This window comes from Homo sapiens, chromosome 2 (assembly GCF_000001405.40).
Source record: "Homo sapiens chromosome 2, GRCh38.p14 Primary Assembly".
Classification (NCBI taxonomy): domain Eukaryota; kingdom Metazoa; phylum Chordata; class Mammalia; order Primates; family Hominidae; genus Homo; species Homo sapiens.
In genome coordinates, this window is record NC_000002.12 from 52,917,626 (window position 1) to 52,936,992 (window position 19,367).

General features: G+C 36.2%; 1 long non-coding RNA gene across 4 annotated transcripts in view; it reads right to left on the reverse strand.

The window, feature by feature from the left end:
* LOC105369165 (uncharacterized) overlaps window positions 1-19,367 on the reverse strand; it is a 486,292-nt gene that overhangs the window by 194,950 nt on the left and 271,975 nt on the right. The window contains exon 1 of one of the 4 annotated variants that reach the window (NR_187749.1): window positions 16,780-16,876. The exons of the other annotated variants lie outside the window; for them this stretch is intronic. This is a non-coding gene — a long non-coding RNA (uncharacterized LOC105369165). Of the gene's footprint in view, window positions 1-16,779; window positions 16,877-19,367 lie in introns of those variants that run through there. 4 annotated transcript variants of the gene reach the window in all.

Sequence of the window (19,367 nt, forward strand, 5' to 3'; positions counted from 1 at the left end):
GAATACTTAAAGTGCCACTGTAAAGATAATGTATGTAAAATTACCTAGAGTGGGAAAAGGAAGAGGTGAAACTCACATTGCGTCTAACGGAAGGATGTTGTTGAGAAGATCATTATGTGATCTAGTTTTGAGAGCTCTGCTCTAAATTATGAGAATATTTACTTTAGACTCGTAACCGTTTTGTTTAGATCACATAGCTAAGAGTAGTCTGACTGGTATGCTTTCCTAGCACGTTTAGAAATATCTTTATGATTCTACACTTTGTACTTTCATTCCATTTTCATTTTCAATCCTGTGTCCACTTTGCACCAATCCATATTTTCCTCTCTCTCGCTTTAATTGTATGTTATTTGTAATATTTTATGTGGTTTTGTAAGCCATCTTCTTTCTGGAATAGAAAGTACAAACCAAATATTTCAATATTGTAGTTAATATTCAGTTAACACAAGTTGAATCTGAATTTTAAAGTGGAAATATAGTAAGAATACAGAAAATCTAATCTACTTTTTGCCTTACACAAAGGAGGCATTCAAAATCATGTTTACCTGATTTGATCAAACCTTCTAGGGCTTATAATTTAAATAACCATATATTCATTCTAAACCTATTTGGTGAATATGCATGATACCTGCATGATTACTTGTTAGATGTCAAGAGGAAATAATCACAAATTAGCCCTCTTACTCTTCATATCTGAGCATAATATCAGCAGACAGATGAGACTTAAATGCAAATACTTTAATATAGGATACAGATTATTCTTGGCAACACCCAGCCTCAGCATGCTTTCCATTTCTGAAGCTTCTCTCCAAGAGATAAGCCTCAATCACTTGCTGTGCTGGTACTAGAGGACACAGCTACCATGACAGTGGCTGATTGGTCTGCATCGTTTTTCAGTCCAAAGTTAGTCTATCTGTACCATAGGTTGGCCAGTTCTTTATGGTGGTCTGTTGATAAAGCTCTGGTGGAAGGAGTAAAGGATGACTAACTTGGTCATTCAGATCCTCTCTCTGGATGAGTGTGAATTTGAAACGAATATAAAGTAGTGATACTGACAGTCAAAGGACACAGAGAGAACATGAATCAGAGAGAGTAGCCATGACCTCAAAGAGAGAGCACAGACTGAAATCAGAAAGGTTCTGGGAATGAGACATCAACCAGATACTCATATTACAAGAACAACTTTCTCCTAATATTTCTCAACATCTTAGCTCCCTGAGATTGTGGAGGAACTTTCAGGTTTACACAAATGCTTGCTACATAAACAAGACTTCTTTTTCCCAATAAATTCTCATTTCTTCAGGGATCCAAGAATGCCTCTCTTCATTGCACCCACATGGGTTAACTAATATAGGGATATTCCATCCAATTGACATACACAGAAGTGAAAATGTAACTTCACTAGAATATAGCAAAAGAGTACACACATTGTAACTGCACCTACCAACTCCAACTGAAGAATAAACTGCCCTTGCAAAGAGATTTGCTTTCCCTAAAGCCATGAAAATCCTGCAAAGATATGTAAAAGAACAGATTCTAAAACTAAAACAGACTTTAGATGTTGCCAAATCTAATTTCCCCCACAGTTCACGAGTCCTATCTGAACCAAAGCTGTTTTAGTCTAAACACTTATGTCCTCCCAAAATTAATGCATTGAAACCACATCACCAATGTGACAGTATTAAGAGGTGCAGCCTTTGAGAGGTGATTAGGTTATTAGGGCTCTACCTTGATGAATGGAATTACAGCAGATCCTTGAATAATGTCCATTCACTCAATATTATTTTGTTATAACATTGATGAGAACATTGGGTTTTCTCCAGGTACTCTGGCTCTGTACCACATGCCAAAGGCACATTAAGTCATCAGGTAAAAGAAGTGGGTAGATAATCATCTTACTTGTTTTCACTAACCTTCTTAAATAAATGTCTAGCTCACATTTATTTCAATACTTAATATTAGAAGTATTTTGATCTTTATTTTGGAGTTGGGTGATGTTTTGTAACCAGGAATAGGCTATAGGAACTTAGCTCTTTTTTATATTAATTAGCCTGTGGGAAACTGATTTCATTATACGTCATTTTGCTTAAAGATGCAGTTTCCAAGGACCTACGGATGATGCTAAGTGAGGACTTACTGTAGTATCTTTGTAAAAGAGATCCCAGAGAAGTGGCCACCTGCTACTGCCTTCCACTCTGTGAGAACACAGCAAAAAGGCTCTATCAATGAACCAGGAAACAGTCTTTCGCCAGATACCAAGTCTGCTTGCACTTTGACCTTAAAATTTTCAGCCTCCAGAGCTTTTCTGTTGTTTATGTCATCTGGCTTACAGTATTTTGCTACAGAAGTGCAAATAGTTTAAGACATAAGTAGATGATCATTCTCTCGGCTTAAGTACTAAATTTTCAGGGACAATTTTACTATATTAATGTGGTAACCCCTTGAATTGTGTGAAAAAGCACAGCTACATGCTAATTGTGAGAAAGCTTTTCCTTATACTGTGCTAAAACTTGTGTTCCTGAAATGTATTTAAATCAGTCTTTGACTAATGGAAGAACAAAGACTACTCCCTTACAGGAAAATTGTTCTAATTTTTGAAGATAAATAAAAATTTCCCATGATTTCTTACTTCTATAAAATAAACAGTCCCATTCCCTCCAGTAACCATTCCTCAAATAATATAATTCCCTAATCACTCATCATCCTGTTACACTCTGCTGCTCTGCTGCTTGCTGACTGATTTATCACTGTGTAGAGCCAAACAAAGTTGAGATAATTGTATACATATCCATATCCATATTAAGAAACTTTCAAACACACTAGTTTATTCTATGAGAAGTAAAATTTCCGATTAAATTTGTCAAACATGCAATGTACATCTACATACTCCACAGTGGACGTCATTCAACACACAAAGATATTCAGATCTTTGTGGTTGTTTGCAAAGAAATTACAACAAGTTTAGAGAATAACAAACATTTCATTTCACAGTCATTACCTCTCCAGGATTCCTTTTATATCTCTATTATCTCTATAGGTTATGTCACTTTACTCAAGAGAAAATAAACAGTAGACAGTATTCAATAAGAAAGCAACAAATTTGGTTTAAATAGATCAGGAAACACCAAAATTTTCATAAAAGTATGGCAGGAGCATTCCAAATTTCTCCCGAGGATTAGTGAGCCTATTCAACATTTTTCTTGATTTTAATTTAGGCAATATTCCCATTAGATAGTTTACCTAATTAGGGCATTTGTTTAAAGTCCATAATGTTAATTCAATAAAAATTCCAATAAAAGTACATTAGATTTTTTATGTTAACAATGCACACTTTATATAGATAGTGTTATTAAAAGTTATACTGGAACTATCACAATCCAATTCTGTTTCAAACAGCAAAATTACTTTTATTCATAATTATTCAGTAAAGAACTACAAATGTACAGATCACTTACTTAGCAGACTGTGCACTTGGCTGTTGTGACAGAAGAGTCAGTGCAAACTTTCTCAAAATCAAAATAAGATATGGTTTGCTTGTAAGATCAAAAACTCAGAGGATAGTTCTTTGTCTCCCTTACGACCATGGCATAAAATGTACAAACCTATAGTAGCATTTTAAATAGCACAACTATACTGGGATATTTCCAGAAAGGCACATTTTGGGCATCGAGATGTTATCCAAATATATGATGCTATATTTAACTTTTCATGTGAATATTTTAATAGCAAGATAGGTAATGACATGCCTAGTTCTTTACTGTAAGGTCTTGTGCTTCAGTTTTGATTAGGTCTAATCTTACAACTCATCTATTTATATTTACATATAAATTATATACATTTACTACTTAATATTCCATTACAAAAAAGTAAAAAGAGCAAAGAAATATAGAAATTTTAAAGAATGAGATAAATATGTATTTGAGATTTGTATATTAATAGCACATGGTTTCTTGTCCTTACAGTTGGTGAGCACATTGTGATCATGCAGTGTGACAGCCTATACCATGCTTGATTATATTAACATCTCATTTATTCCTCCCTTGGCTTGAAAGGGCTCTTATACTAGGAGTAGAAGTACCATCTCTGCCATTTTCCTTCTGTTTAATTGTGTGATATTTTTCTTCCCTTCCATCTTCCCCAAGGGTTTCTTTGCACAGACTTATTTTGGGAAAGTTAGTTTAATCAAAACCTGATAGTATAATCCATAAATCTATTTTGCTAAGCTGATGTTAAGCCACAGCAGATTCTAAGGCACAGAGAGTAAACAAGGACATGAAGGCACATCTGGATTGAGGTCAATGAATCTTTATTTTAATAAATTCTCGAGGTGTGTCTTGGTTTTCAGACCGCATTTCGAGTCTGATTGATTCAGACTCTGAAATCAATCAAGATTTTAGACTAAATGTAATCCAGCATATAAACAGAACCAAAGACAAAACCCACATGATTATCTCAACAGATGCAGAAAAGGCCTTTGACAAAATTCAACAACGCTTCATGCTAAAAACTCTCAATAAATTAGGGATTGATGGGACGTATCTCAAAATAATAAGAGCTATCTAGGACAAACCCACAGCCAATATCATACTGAATGGGCAAAAAGTGGAAGCTCTCCCTTTGAAAACTGGCACAAGACAGGGATGCCCTCTCTCACCACTCCTATTCAACATAGTGTTGGAAGTTCTGGCCAGGGCAATTAGGCAGGAGAAGGAAATAAAGGGTATTCAATTAGGAAAAGAGGAAGTCAAATTGTCCCTGTTTGCAGATGACATGATTGTATATCTAGAAAACCCCATTGTCTCAGCCCAAAATCTCCTTAAGCTGATAAGCAACTTCAGCAGAGTCTCAGGATACAAAATCAATGTGCAAAAATCACAAGCATTCTTATACACCAATAACAGACAAACAGAGAGCCAAATCATGAGTGAACTCCCATTCACAATTGCTTCAAAGAGAATAAAATACCTAGGAATCCAACTTACAAGGGACGTGAAGGACCTCTTCAAGGAGAACTACAAACCACTGCTCAAGGAAATAAAAGAGGATACAAAGAAATGGAAGAACATTCCATGCTCATGGGTAGGAGGAATCAATATCATGAAAATGGCCATACTGCCCAAGGTAATTTATAGATTCAATGCCATCCCCATCAAGCTACCAATGACTTTCTTCACAGAATTGGAAAAAACTACTTTAAAGTTCATATGGAACCAAAAAAGAGCCCGCATCGCCAAGTCAATCCTAAGCCAAAAGAACAAAGCTGGAGGCATCGTGGCTACCTGACTTCAAACTATAATACAAGGCTACAGTAACCAAAACAGCATGGTACTTGTACCAAAACAGAGATATAGATCAATGGAACAGAACAGAGCCCTCAGAAATAATGCCGCATATCTACAACTATCTGATCTTTGACAAACCTGAGAAAAACAAGCAAGGGGGAAAGGATTCCCTAGTTAATAAATGGTGCTGGGAAAACTGGCTAGCCATAAGTAGAAAGCTGAAACTGGATCCCTTCCTTACGCCTTATACAAAAATTAATTCAAGATGGATTAAAGACTTAAATGTTAGACCTAAAACCATAAAAACCCTAGAAGAAAACCTAGGCAATACCATTCAGGACATAGGCATGGGCAAGGACTTCATGTCTAAAACACCAAAAGCAATGGCAACAAAAGCCAAAATTGACAAATGGGATCTAATTAAACTAAAGAGCTTCTGCACAGCAAAAGAAACTACCATCAGAGTGAATGGGCAACCTAAAAAATGGGAGAAAATTTTCGCAACCTACTCATCTGACAAAGGGCTAGTATCCAGAATCTACAATGAACTCAAACAAATTTAGAAGAAAAAAACAAACAACCACATCAAAAAGTGGGCGAAGGACATGAACACACACTTCTCAAAAGAAGACATGTATGCAGCCAAAAAACACATGAAAAAATGCTCACCATCACTGGCCATCAGAGAAATGCAAATCAAAACCACAATGAGATACCATCTCACACCAGTTAGAATGGCAATCATTAAAAAGTCAGGAAACAACAGATGCTGGAGAGGATGTGGAGAAATAGGAACACTTTTACACTGTTGGTGGGACTGGAAACTAGTTCAACCATTGTGGAAGTCAGTGTGGCGATTCCTCAGGGATCTAGAACTAGAAGTACCATTTGACCCAGCCATCCCATTACTGGGTATATACCCAAAGGACTATAAATCATGCTGCTATAAAGACACATGCACACGTGTGTTTATTGCGGCACTATTCACAATAGCAAAGACTTGGAACCAACCCAAGTGTCCAACAATGATAGACTGGATTAAGAAAATGTGGCACATATACACCATGGAATACTATGCAGCCATAAAAAATGATGAGTTCGTGTCCTTTGTAGGGACATGGATGAAATTGGAAATCATCATTCTCAGTAAAATATCGCAAGGACAAAAAAGCAAACACCACATGTTCTCATTCATAGGTGGGAATTGAACAATGAGAACACATGGACACAGGAAGGGGAACATCACACTCTGGGGACTGTTGTGGGGTGGGGGGAGGGGGGAGGGATAGCATTAGGAGATATACCTAATGCTAAATGACGAGTTAATGGGTGCAGCACACCAGCATGGCACATGTACACATATCTAACTAACCTGCACATTGTGTACATGTACCCTAAAACTTAAAGTATAATAATAATAATAATAATAATAAAAGACTTTAGACTAACTTAAAAATCTCAATGTGAGTACTTAGGTATCTCAGCACCAGGAAACACCGCTTATAGTCCTGTGCTGATTTCACTTTTCAATAGCAAATAAGTGGAAATCTTTTCCTTTCCACACAAAGGCAAAAATATATATCTCAGTCTAATAAGCAACTCTCCTTAAGTTTGCTCACCACCTTCATTCTGTCCTCCTTCATGCTGACCATAGTCTGTCTAGCAGCTGCATATTAGTTATTACCTACGTGCTGTATTCTGTGTCACCTCCACTTGCTGAATTTCCACAATGCTAACACACTGTCTGAATCCCACCTATTGAAGTAAACAAAAAGACCTACTACAATTTGGGTTTCTGATGCGTGTGAGACATGGTTTTAGGCAATTTATATTAATTATCTCAATTTCTGGTTCTTGGAAATGGAAGACCCTACAGCTCCTGTTTTTGTCCTATAGAATGGCAGCTGCCATATAAAGAAGTTTAGGTTATATAGCCACAGATAAAGACCCCTGGAAAATAAGAGGAAGGAGACCACATGGAAAATAACTACATCCCCAGACATGATTGAGCCTATTTGGCAACCCAGAAAGGGAGAAGCCAAGTGCATTTTTGGTTATACGAGATGAAGCACCAGACATATGAGTGAGGCCATCTTGGATGCTCTGGTCCCCAGTGAAGTCATTTCATGTGACACCATGTGGAGCAAAGATGAGCAATTCCTATTAAGCCCCACCCAAATACCTGATCTTTAGAATCACAGGAATATAATAATTGTTTTAGGCCACTATATTTTGGGGTTCTTTTCTTTCTTTCATGACCCACTCAAATCCCATTTCCTTTATGTGTTTCCCAAATACTCTAACCTATTTGAACTCCGCGTGGTTTTCATTGGTTACATAAATCCCCTACTTTATATGATTTAATGTTTATGTGCATGTACAGAGAGTCCCTGACTCACAGTGGTATGACTTGTGATTTTTCTGTAGCTACACGATGGTGCAAATGTGATGATATGTGACCACAAGTTTCAGAGAGTAAGCATAAGTGATTCTTCTCCAAAGGCTCTCTAGGCTGCATTTTTTACTCCTGATATTTCAACTTATGATGGGTTTATCAGGACACAACTCCATCATAAGTTGAGAAGCATCTAAACTATGTATGTGTGCATACACACACATATATACATATATACATACATATATGTATATATACATACATATATGTATATATACATATACACACATATAAACATACACATACTTATATACACACATATATACATGCATATATATGTATATAGACATGCATATATACACACATATACACATACATATAGACATGCATATATGCATACATATACACATACATATATGTATATACACACATGTGTATATACACCTGTGTGTATATACGCACGTATGCATATACACCTGTGTGTATATACGCACGTATGCATATACACCTGTGTGTATATACGCACGTATGCATATACACCTGTGTGTATATACGCACGTATGCATATACACCTGTGTGTATATACGCACGTATGCATATACACCTGTGTGTATATACGCACGTATATACACCTATGTGTGTATATACACATATATACACATATATACACCTATGTATATACACATATATACACATATACACCTATGTATATACACATATATACACATACATATATGCATATACGCATATAGAAACATACATATATGCATATACGCATAGACACATACATATATGCATATATGCAGACACATACATATATGCATTACGCAGACACATACATATATGCATATACGCATATAGACACATACATATATGCATATACGCATATAGACACATACATATATGCATATACGCATATATACACATACACATATATACACACATATATAATATACATATGTGTATATATACACATATACATACATATATATTGTGAAGCATCTCAACATATATACACACATATATACACATGTACATATATATATTATATATATATAAAATTTAGTATAACAATCAGCTACGAGTAACAGAATAGTTAAAACGGACTAAACATGTAGAAATTTACCTTTCTCACCAGATATGTGAATCTAGGGAACTCCTGGTATTTGTTTAGCTTGTCAAGGCCATTTTTTGTCGTTGTTCTCTTAGTCTTTTTCTTGTGCTTACAAGGTGGCTACTATGGGTCCACCCACCATAACTTTATTCAATGAAGGAGAGAGGGCAGTATCAACCATATCTGTCCATTTTTTAAAATTAGAATGTCAAAATCTGTCCCTTGCCCCACTTATTTTTTTTTGTATTGGAAAATCCAGCCTACCCAAAAACCATTCTTTGAAGATAGTGTCTTTTTCCAATTTTGTGGTCTTGGCATCTTTGTCAAAGACCACTTGACAATATATATGAGCTAAAAAATGTGTTGATGCATTATTTCCCCTGCCTGTACAGTAGAGGCATAAAGAATAAGGAGACTGGAAATATAGTAGATATCTTATGAAACATCCTAGAGAGTCTGCCATGATCTCTGCCACAATACTGACTACAGTACAGAGCATATAAAAAGCAACCATATATACGCTTCTTCCGATCAATGAAAAAATAGCAAACTACTACTTTTGTCTCCACAGTAATACTATAAAGTGGTCTGAGTAAAGTCAGTGACAGTAAGTAAAGTCAATGAATGTACAGTTCCAGAAAATTTTCTACTTAACAAAAAATTAAAGACTAGTGAAGATGAAATGTATCATATACAGGTCCCTAGTAAGATCATATTAGAGTAAGAAAATGGAGAAAATACTTTATCAAACCACAAAATCTAAACAAATAAAATGCACACGGACATAAAGGAATGAATATTTGAGGCCAGGGCCTATTTGAGGGTGGAGGATAAAAATCAAACAACTACCTATCAAGTACTATGCTTATTACTTGGGTAACAAAATAATCTGTACAACAAACCCCTGTGACATGTAATTTACCTATATATCAAACCTGCACAGGTACCCCTGAACCTAAAATAAGGGTTAAAAAAATACAAACATAATAAAATAATAGTGCTTAAGACAGAATACTGTTACATGGGTGTTCATGGGCTATGGGAAGCCAGAAAAAAGTAAATCACTGGGAATAAATTTAATGTCTCAAAAACCCTGGAATAAGAAGGTACATCGGACAGAGGTGTTGAAAAGAAGAAAAACAACTAAAGGTCACAGCCAAAACAGTGAAATAGAGATCCCAGAACATTGTATGAGAGCATATAACAGACAATGAACACACCCGCCACCTGTTGCCTAAATTAAACACATAGTCATGTTGACCATTCTTGAGAAAGGAATGTGTTTAACTTAGGAATGTGTTCAATTTAGAGCCATGTTCCTCTAAAATTAGGAAAAAGTCAATGGTTTTTACTGTCACCACTTATATAAACCAGTACTGATGGCTCTTGCCAGAGCAACTGGTCAAGAAAAATAAATAAAAGGTACCAAATTGTAAAAGAGGAAACAAAGTTATCCCTGCTTCTGGATGACATGATCTTACAGGTAGGAAACACTAAAGAGTCCACAGAAAATTGTTAGAACTAATAAACAAACTCAGCAAATTTACAGGATACAAAATTATCACACACAAAATAGTTGTGTTTCTATACATGCTAACAATAAACAACGCCAAAAGAAAATTAAGAAAGCAATTTCATTTATAATATCATCAAAAAATAAAATTCTTAAGCATAAACTTGACCAAAGAGGCAAAGACTTGTACAATGAAAACTACAGAATATTACTAAAAGAAATTAAAGATACAAATAAATCCAAAGACACCTGATTTTCATGGACTGAAAGACTCATTATTAAATGTACCCAAAGCAATCTACAGATTCAATGTAGTCTCTATTAAAATCTCAATGACACTTAACTTATAACAATATTGCCTAATCAAAACAGTGTGGTGGTACTGGCATAAAGACAGACATATAGACCCATGGAATGCAGAGAGAGCCTGGAAATAAACCCTCACATATATGGTAAAATAATCTTTAACAAGCATGCCAACACCACACAAGAGGGAATGCCTCTTCAAAAAATGGTATTGGGAAAACTAGATATTCATATGCAAAAGAATGAGGTTGGACCCTTATTTTATACCATATGCAAAAATTCAAAATGAATTAAAGAAAAATGTAAATGTCAAATTTTAAACTATAAAAATCTAGAAATAAACATAGAGAAGAAGGTTTGTGATTTTGGATTTGGCAATGATTTCTTGTACATAACACCAAAAGCATTGGCAACAAAAGCAAGGTTAGATAAGTGGAACTACATAAAACTTAAAATCTTCTGTACATCAAAGGAAAAAATAAACAGTGAAATGCAACCAACAGAATTGGAGAAAATATTTGAAAATCAGATAGCTGATAAGGGGTGTATTAGTCCATTTTCACAGTGCTGATACAAACATACCCGAGACTTGGTAATTTATACGGGAAAAAGAGTTTAAGGGACTTACAGCTCCATGTGGCTGGGGAAGCCTCACAAGCATGGTGGAAGGCAAGGAGGAGCAAGTCATGTCTTACATGAATGGCCGCAGGGAAAAAGAGAGCTTGTGCAGGGAAACTCCCATTTTAAAAACCATCAAATCTTCTGAGACTCACTTATTATCATGAGAACAGTGCAGGAAAGACCTGCCCCCACAATTAAATCACCTCCCATCAGGTTCCACCCATGACACATGGGAATTGTGGGAGTTACAATTAAAGATGTGATTGGGTGCAGATACAGCCAAACCATATCATTCTGCCCCTGACCCCTCCCAAATCTCATGTCCTCACATTTCAAAACCAATCATGCCTTCCCAAAAGTCCCCCAAAGTCTTAACTCATTTCACCATTAACTCAAAAGCCCACAGTCCCGTGTGTCATCGGAGATAAGGCAAGTCCTTTCCACTTATCAGCCTGAAAAATAAAAAGCAATTTAATTACTTCCTAGATAAAATGGGGGTACAGGCATTAGGTAAATATAGCCATTTCAAATGGGAGTAATTGGCCAAAACAAAGGGGCTACAGGCACCACGCAAGTCCAAAACTGATCAGGGCAGTCAAATCTTAAAGTTCCAAAATGATCTCCTTTGACTTCATGTCACACTTCCAGGTCACACTGATACAAGAGGTGGATCCCCATGGTCTTAGGCAGCTTCACCCCTGTGGCTCTGCAGGGTACAGCCTCCCTCCTAGCTGCTTTCATGGGCTGGCGTTGAGTGTCTCTGCCTTTTCTAGACACACAGTGCAAGCTGTTGGTGGATATTCCATTCTAAGGTCTGGAGGCTGGTGGGCCTCTTCTCACAGCTCCACTAGGCAGTTCCCCAGTAGGGACTCTGTGTGCGGGCTCCAACCCCACTTTTCCCTTCCACGCCACCATAGCAGAGGTTCTCCATGAGACTTCCTCCCCTGCAGCAAACTTCTGCCTGGACATCCAGGCATTTCCATACATCCTCTGAAATTTAAGTAGAGGTTCCAAAACTTCAATTTTTGACCTTTGTGAACCCACAGGCTCAACACCATATGGAAGCTGCCATGGCTTGAGGCTTGAACCATCTGAAGCCATAGCCCAAGCTGTACCTTTGCCCCTCTTAGTCATGGCAGGAGCAGCTGGGAAACAGGGCACCAGGGCCCTAGACTGCATACAGCAAGGGGACCCTGGGCCTGGCCCACAAAACCATTTTTTTCTCCTACGTCAGCTTGCGATGACAGGGGCTGCCATGTAGATCTCTGACATATCCTGGAGACATTTTCCCCATTGTCTTGGGGATTAACATTCAGCTCCTCATTAGTTATGCAAATTTCTGCAGCCAGCTTGAATTTCTCCTCAGAAAATGGGTTTTTCTTTTCTATTGCATTGTCAGGCTGGAAATTTTCAGAACTTTCATGCTCTGCTTCCCTTATAAAACTGAATGCTTTTAACAGCACTCAAGTCACCTCTTGAATGCTTTCCTGCTTAGAAATTTCTTCTGCCGGATACCCTAAATCATCTCTCTCAAGTCCAAAGTTCCACAAATCTCTAGGGCAGGGGAAAAATGCCGCCAGTCTCTTTGCTAAAACACAAGGGTCACCTCTGCTCCAGTTCCCAAGTTCCTCATCTCCATATGAGACCACCTCAGCCTGGACTTTATTGTTCACATCATCAGCATTCTTGCTGAAGCCATTCAACAAGTCTCTAGGAAGTTGTAAACATTCCCACATTTTCCTATCTTCTTCTGAGCCCTGAAAACTGTTCCAGCCTCTGCCTGTTGCCCAGTTCCAAAGTCACTTCCACATTTTGGGGTATCTTTTCAGCAATACTCCACTCCTGGTACCAATTTACTGTATTAGTTTATTTTCATGCTGCTGATAAAGACATACCCGAGACTAGGTAATTTATACAGGAAAAAGTGTTTAACGGCCTTACAATTCCACATGGCTGGGGAAGCCTCACAATCACAGCAGAAGGCAAGGAGGAGCAAATTGTGTCTTACATGGATGGCAGCTAGAAAAAAGAGAGCTTGTGCAGGGAAACTCCCATTTTTAAAACCATCAGATCTCATGAGACTCATTCACTATTATGAGAACAGAGCAGGGAAGACCTACCCCCATAATTAAATTACCTCCCCCTGGGTGCCTCCCAGGACATGTGGGAATTGTAGGAGTTATAATTCAAGATGAGATTTAGGTGGGGACACAGCCAAACCATAACAAGGGGGCTATATTTAGAATATCTAAGAATTTCTACAAATCTACAACAACAGCAACAAAACAAATGACCTGATTTTTAAAAATAGAAAAAGGACTTCAATAGACATTTCTCCAAAAAGGGTACACAAATGGCCAAACAAGCAAATGAAAAGATGCTCAACATCATTAATCATTAGAGAAATGCAAATCAAAACCACAGTGAGATATCACTTCACACCATTAGGACGCTCACTATCATAAAGACAAAACAAAACAAACATCAGTAATGGAAACCCCAGAAAATACCAAATGATGGTCAGAATGTGGAAAAATTAGAACATTTGTGCACTGTTGGTGAAAATGTAAAATAATTAAGCCACATAGAAAATACTATGAAGTTTTCCTTAAAAATTGTTAGAAATAGAATTACCAAATGACTCATCAATCCCACTTCTTGTTATATATCCAAAAAAATAAAAGCAGGATCTCAAAGCGATACGTGCACATCCATGGTCATTTCAGCATTATTTACAATAGCCAAGAAGTGGAAGCAACTCAAACATTCATCAATGGATGAATAGATAAAGAAAGTGTGGTATATATCCCACTGAATATTATTCAGCCTTAGAAATGGGAAATTCTATTACATGCTACAACATGGATGAATCTAGAGGACATTATGCTAGGTGAAATAAGCCATCAGAAAAAGACAAATACTGTTTGATTCTACTCATATGAACTATCTAAAGTAGTTAAAGTCATAGAAAATGAAAGAAAGATAGTTGCTAGAGGCTGAAGGGAGGGGGAAATGGGGAAGTGTTCAAGACATTTAGACTTTCAGTTTTGCAAGATAAAAAAGTCTAGACATCTATTGTACGACACAGTGAATACAGTTAACACCACTGAATTACACACTTAAAAATGGTCAAGGTAGTTAACTAAATTTAATGAGTTTTTACCACAATTGGAAATGATAAACAGCAACAAAATAGCCATCCATATTCTATCCTGCTATATCATCATGTAGCACGTATCGTGATGAAAAGAAATAAGAAGAAATCAAGTTCTTTCTTTCTGTACTACCCCTATAGCAACTATCCATAAATAAGATATTACCTTTAAAATTAACTTTTCTTAAATCTCACCTTCATTAACAATTCTATTTGCACTTTTTTCTCCGTATTATTTGCTCATATCATGATTTTGATTTCCCTGTACCAATTAACAGTAGGAATTTCTCTTTCTCAAGCCAAAAATTTTCATTGCAGTATAGATAGAGATCATACAAATATATACACACACACACACACACACACACACACACACACACACATATAGAGGTCTGATCTTTTTTTCTGAACTGGCTAGTCATGGTTATTTCTATAGTAAAATATTTAATAAGAAACAAAGAAACAGTAATAAATACCATTAGATAATTGGTTGCTTTAAGGTAGAAAGTCTATGATTTCCCCTTTGATAATTAGCTCTACATATCCAATTGTGGGACTTTACACTGAAGTCAATTGAGGTTCACTAAAATTTTGTATTAATTCACTAACAATTATTCAGGCATTGCAGTAATTTCCTCTCTTAAATGATAACAGATTCCTAATATACTTGGTTGGTTTATCTGTCCCCTTGGTTACTTACAGTTACAGTCATTATTTTACAAATTAAATTTTCATTCTCTTTGCATTTATGAAAGCATCTTTTATTATGGAGGATGGCAAAGCATGATATAAACTTTTTCTTATGTAGAAGCAAAGTGGAGATCACAGAGGTATTTTATCACAAATTATGAGATGGGAAATTAGCTAAAAAATGCCAAATATTGAGATGCTGGATTTTTTTTTTACATCCCTTCTGCCATACTGAGTTGAATAGCTAGGAATCTTAACTCTTTTAGGGAGAGAAGTTGAATGTGAGACCCTTTAAAAACACCAGTTCAGCATAATCAGTATAAAGTGATATGAGACAAAAAGAGATTTTAACAAAACAGCAGAGGAGACCAAGCTTAAAACACATTTCTCAGAATTCTCCTCCCTGTACAGCTCTAGATTCGTTTTCGCCACAGGAGACATTTGCATGCAATTTAGAAGACAGAAGTGAAGAAATAGTCATACATTTTTATACTTTAAAGCTTGATACAGAGCATCAGGCAGTGTAGCAGCTCAGCAATGAACTAGGGCAGTATTTCCTGAAGCTCCCACCTAAATCCTCCCCTTCAGTTTATTTTATTATTGGGTTAAGGATATGTGTAACTTACAGTGAAGGACATAACCTTTCCCTCCAGGTAACCAGTCACTGCACCAAGGTTAGAGATGGTGAGAGACAGACATAGGTCCCAGTTGTTGTCATGAGCTCTAGTTATTGACTTTACACATCCTGGTTTTCTTTAGAGTAGCACTCTGGATGACCAAAACAGCTTCAGAATCAACACAAGACAGAGGGTACACAGCCTGCTCTAATAGGTCAGTCCCGCAATTGCATAAGGTTTAACTCTTAAAGTAAATCATTCAATACCACTTGACGATCTGTGGGTATTCTGCTTCTCTGACTAAACCTTGACTAATTACAAGGGTCTGCAAGAAACTTTGTAGAGGTAATAAGTCGATTGTACCAATGGTCCTAATTATCCATGCTTTTTTTCCTGAAATTATACAGTCCCTCCATGCTCTGATTTTGGGTTCAGTCATGTGACTTACTTTAACCACTGAGATATTAGCAATATCCAACCTTGAAAAGTATATGCTCATTTTTCCTTGTCATCTTCCACAGTTGAGACTGTTTGCTCTTAGATACCCCACTGAAGGGATTGGGCTGCTGAAGGGATAGGAGGTATTAAAAACCACTCTAAGCCTAGTCTCCCTTAGCTGGATAATTATTCATGACATGATCAGGCCTCTGTGAGATGAGCCAAACCTAGCCAAGATTAGCAGAGCAACATGGCTCTATCTTCACGAGAAATGTTTAAAATGTTGATTATTTAAGGAGTTTGGAATGCTTTGTAACATAACAATTGTTAACTAATGCAGTAAGCACAGATCAACTTACTGCAAAGAAATATTTCCCATATCTAGGGGCTGGAGAACAGGGAGGAAACTAGCACTTATTGACTATTCACCATTCATGCCTTTCCACGTTTTAAATATATGCTATTATATTTAACACAACAATAGCAACATAAAGGAGATACTCTTTCCCCATTTCATAAATAAAGAGACAGGCACCAAGTTCTGCTGATTATCTAAATGCAATAAAATATAATGCCAAATAAAATGAAAAAAACACAAGCGAGGAGACATTTAATCTTTAGAAGATGATATGAGGAATGTTGCAATTACCTGTCTGAATTTCATCATTGGTGGAATGTCCAAAGGTACAAAACAGCAGACAAAATAATGAGAACACATTCTCTGGGAAACACAGACAAGTTAAAGGAAGAATGTTTTGTCTCAGCCTTGTTTTGGCCCTGCGCTCAGCCTCACTTTTAACTCATTTTACAACGAGTTTGATAAATTCAGGACCAGTACTTAAGCCAAGATCAATACTGTGACTTCCAACATTTCAAATTTATAGAGGAGAAACTATGACTCATAGGGACTGAGTCATTTTTTGAAAGTTAATACAAAGCAACACTTTGTATTAACATAGGGTCATTTTTCCAAAGAGCTCCAAGCATTTGATGTTCTACAAATCTGATTCAGTATTCTTGAAATGCAGAACTGAGAGATGACACAACTGAAACAGAAAACAGTGAAGTGGCTAAATCTTTGTCTTTAAGATAATCTTTAAATGATAAATGAAATCACCTGAATGAGGTGAAAGACTGAAAATATAATCAAGACAGTAGCGTGGAGGGAAGGGAAGGGTTGACCACATTTCAGATTTTTAAAGTGTTTAACTCCCCTTCCTAGCTATTTTCTATTAAATTAAATTAAATGAAAATAAAATATAATGGTTTTGTAGGAAAATCTCAGAAGTGGCTCCCAGTACTGCTCTGTTAAATTGTTAGGTGAAACCTGGACTTAGAGGTACAGTACCTCTGTATACATATTAGGACGACCATGGGCAGAGGACAAGTTACCAGTGGTGCACACATCACATAGATGTGATCCATATGTTACTCTCAGATTTCTGTTTCTACTCAGTTGTATTCCCTACAGAAAAAGATATTCATATTCATAAGTGGTTATTTTCTAGATAAAATGAGAAATATAGCTATAATAGTGAAATGAGAAATTAAAAAACAAAACAAAACAAAAAAGATGGCTTTTCCTTATCTTTTCCTAGGTAAGGGACCACCTTCAGGCTCTGCTGATAATGGCCGTGTGGTCTACTTAGTAAAATTCACTTGAAAAACCAGACATCTAAACCCATTTTATTCAGAATTAGAAACTAAAACTGAAACTGAAATTAGAACTGAGTGACATTTTAAGTTAATTCTTTAACGGCTTATTTGTTGTTCTTTTTCAGTCTGCACAAGCCCATACAAAAATAAAATCTTACTTGTGATTTTATGCAACATAAATTATATCTCTTCCACACAGTCCACATAGAAAAGTATATAAATCTATGGCCAGCAAATGTTTGCTATTCCATTACTATGATATTTAGGAGAACACCAACACCAGATCCTCAACACTCTCAGTTGGAAATAAATGCACTTTTTTCCCTTCTTATTTTAGCAAAAAAAAAATTTATAAATTCGTTTCACATAAAAATAACTAGCTCAGTATAAGGAAAGACTGAAGAATGTTGTAAAATAGAAGGATACAGAAAAGTGGAATTGAGTTTTAGGCATTCGTAAAATATTTGTTCAGAAATCTCATATTATGTAAGTCTTTGCTCATTTCTAAGATACACACAAAAAATGTTTGGACAAATAACTATTGAAAGGTTGTCCTGTCTCCATTTTTACCAATAATCACTGAACATTCTTGAAACACTTCTGTTCCTCACCTATAGATATTACCACCCAAAACTCAAAATGACAACTGCCCTGTATCCAGTAGATAATTATTAATTTTGCTGCAATCACGAAAGAAAATCCGGTAGGTTTAAGCATCATCTCTTATTACTGCACCATCTAAAGGTATCACCTCTAGCAGCAGATTACAGGAAACAGAACATTTTTTTTCTCTTTGGTTGCTGAGTAGCTGAGTCAGGCCATATGAAGTCAATCGTTGCTATGACAATGTACGAAACAGGGAGAAGATAATATGTTTGACTACAGATAATTCATTTACCTATAATGACCCTTTTTTGTTTGATATCCATATGCTTACTTGGAAGGGATAGTCATGCATACTTTACCATATAACCATTTTAATCATATTTATGAAACAGGTACCCATCATTTTTACTTAAGTAAAAAGATCAGATGATCTACTTGTACTCCGTGAGATTTTTTTTTCACCTCTTCATTTATTTTGCTTTCTGGTTAACAGTGGCATGGGTAAATAATACATCTTTATGTCTTCTCTTTCTCCTGTCACAATGTGAAGTAAACTCATATGTTAAGAATGTAAATAAGTTTTTACTATGGCATATTGCAATAAACATTTTACTATTCAATAGGAAGTTGAAACACAGTGATATAAGCCAGGCAATGTAAAAGCAACACAAACTCAGGATTCCCAAGTGTTATAATTCAACCATACGAATTTGTCCTACATTGAAATCATGCACACACATACCTGTACACACAGAAATTTATTTTCAATCAAATTTTCAGAAACTATCTGTAGCTATTTTTCACATTTATGACTGCAAGTCATCAGTTCACATGGTAGATAATTATTTCCCTCTCCACTCTTATAGTTGATTTTATTATAGGAGGTACCATGTTGTGTGCTATATTTACTGGTCAATTCAGAAATTTACAAAGTTAATGTTTGGAAGAATATATCCACAGTCCTTACCATGTTAC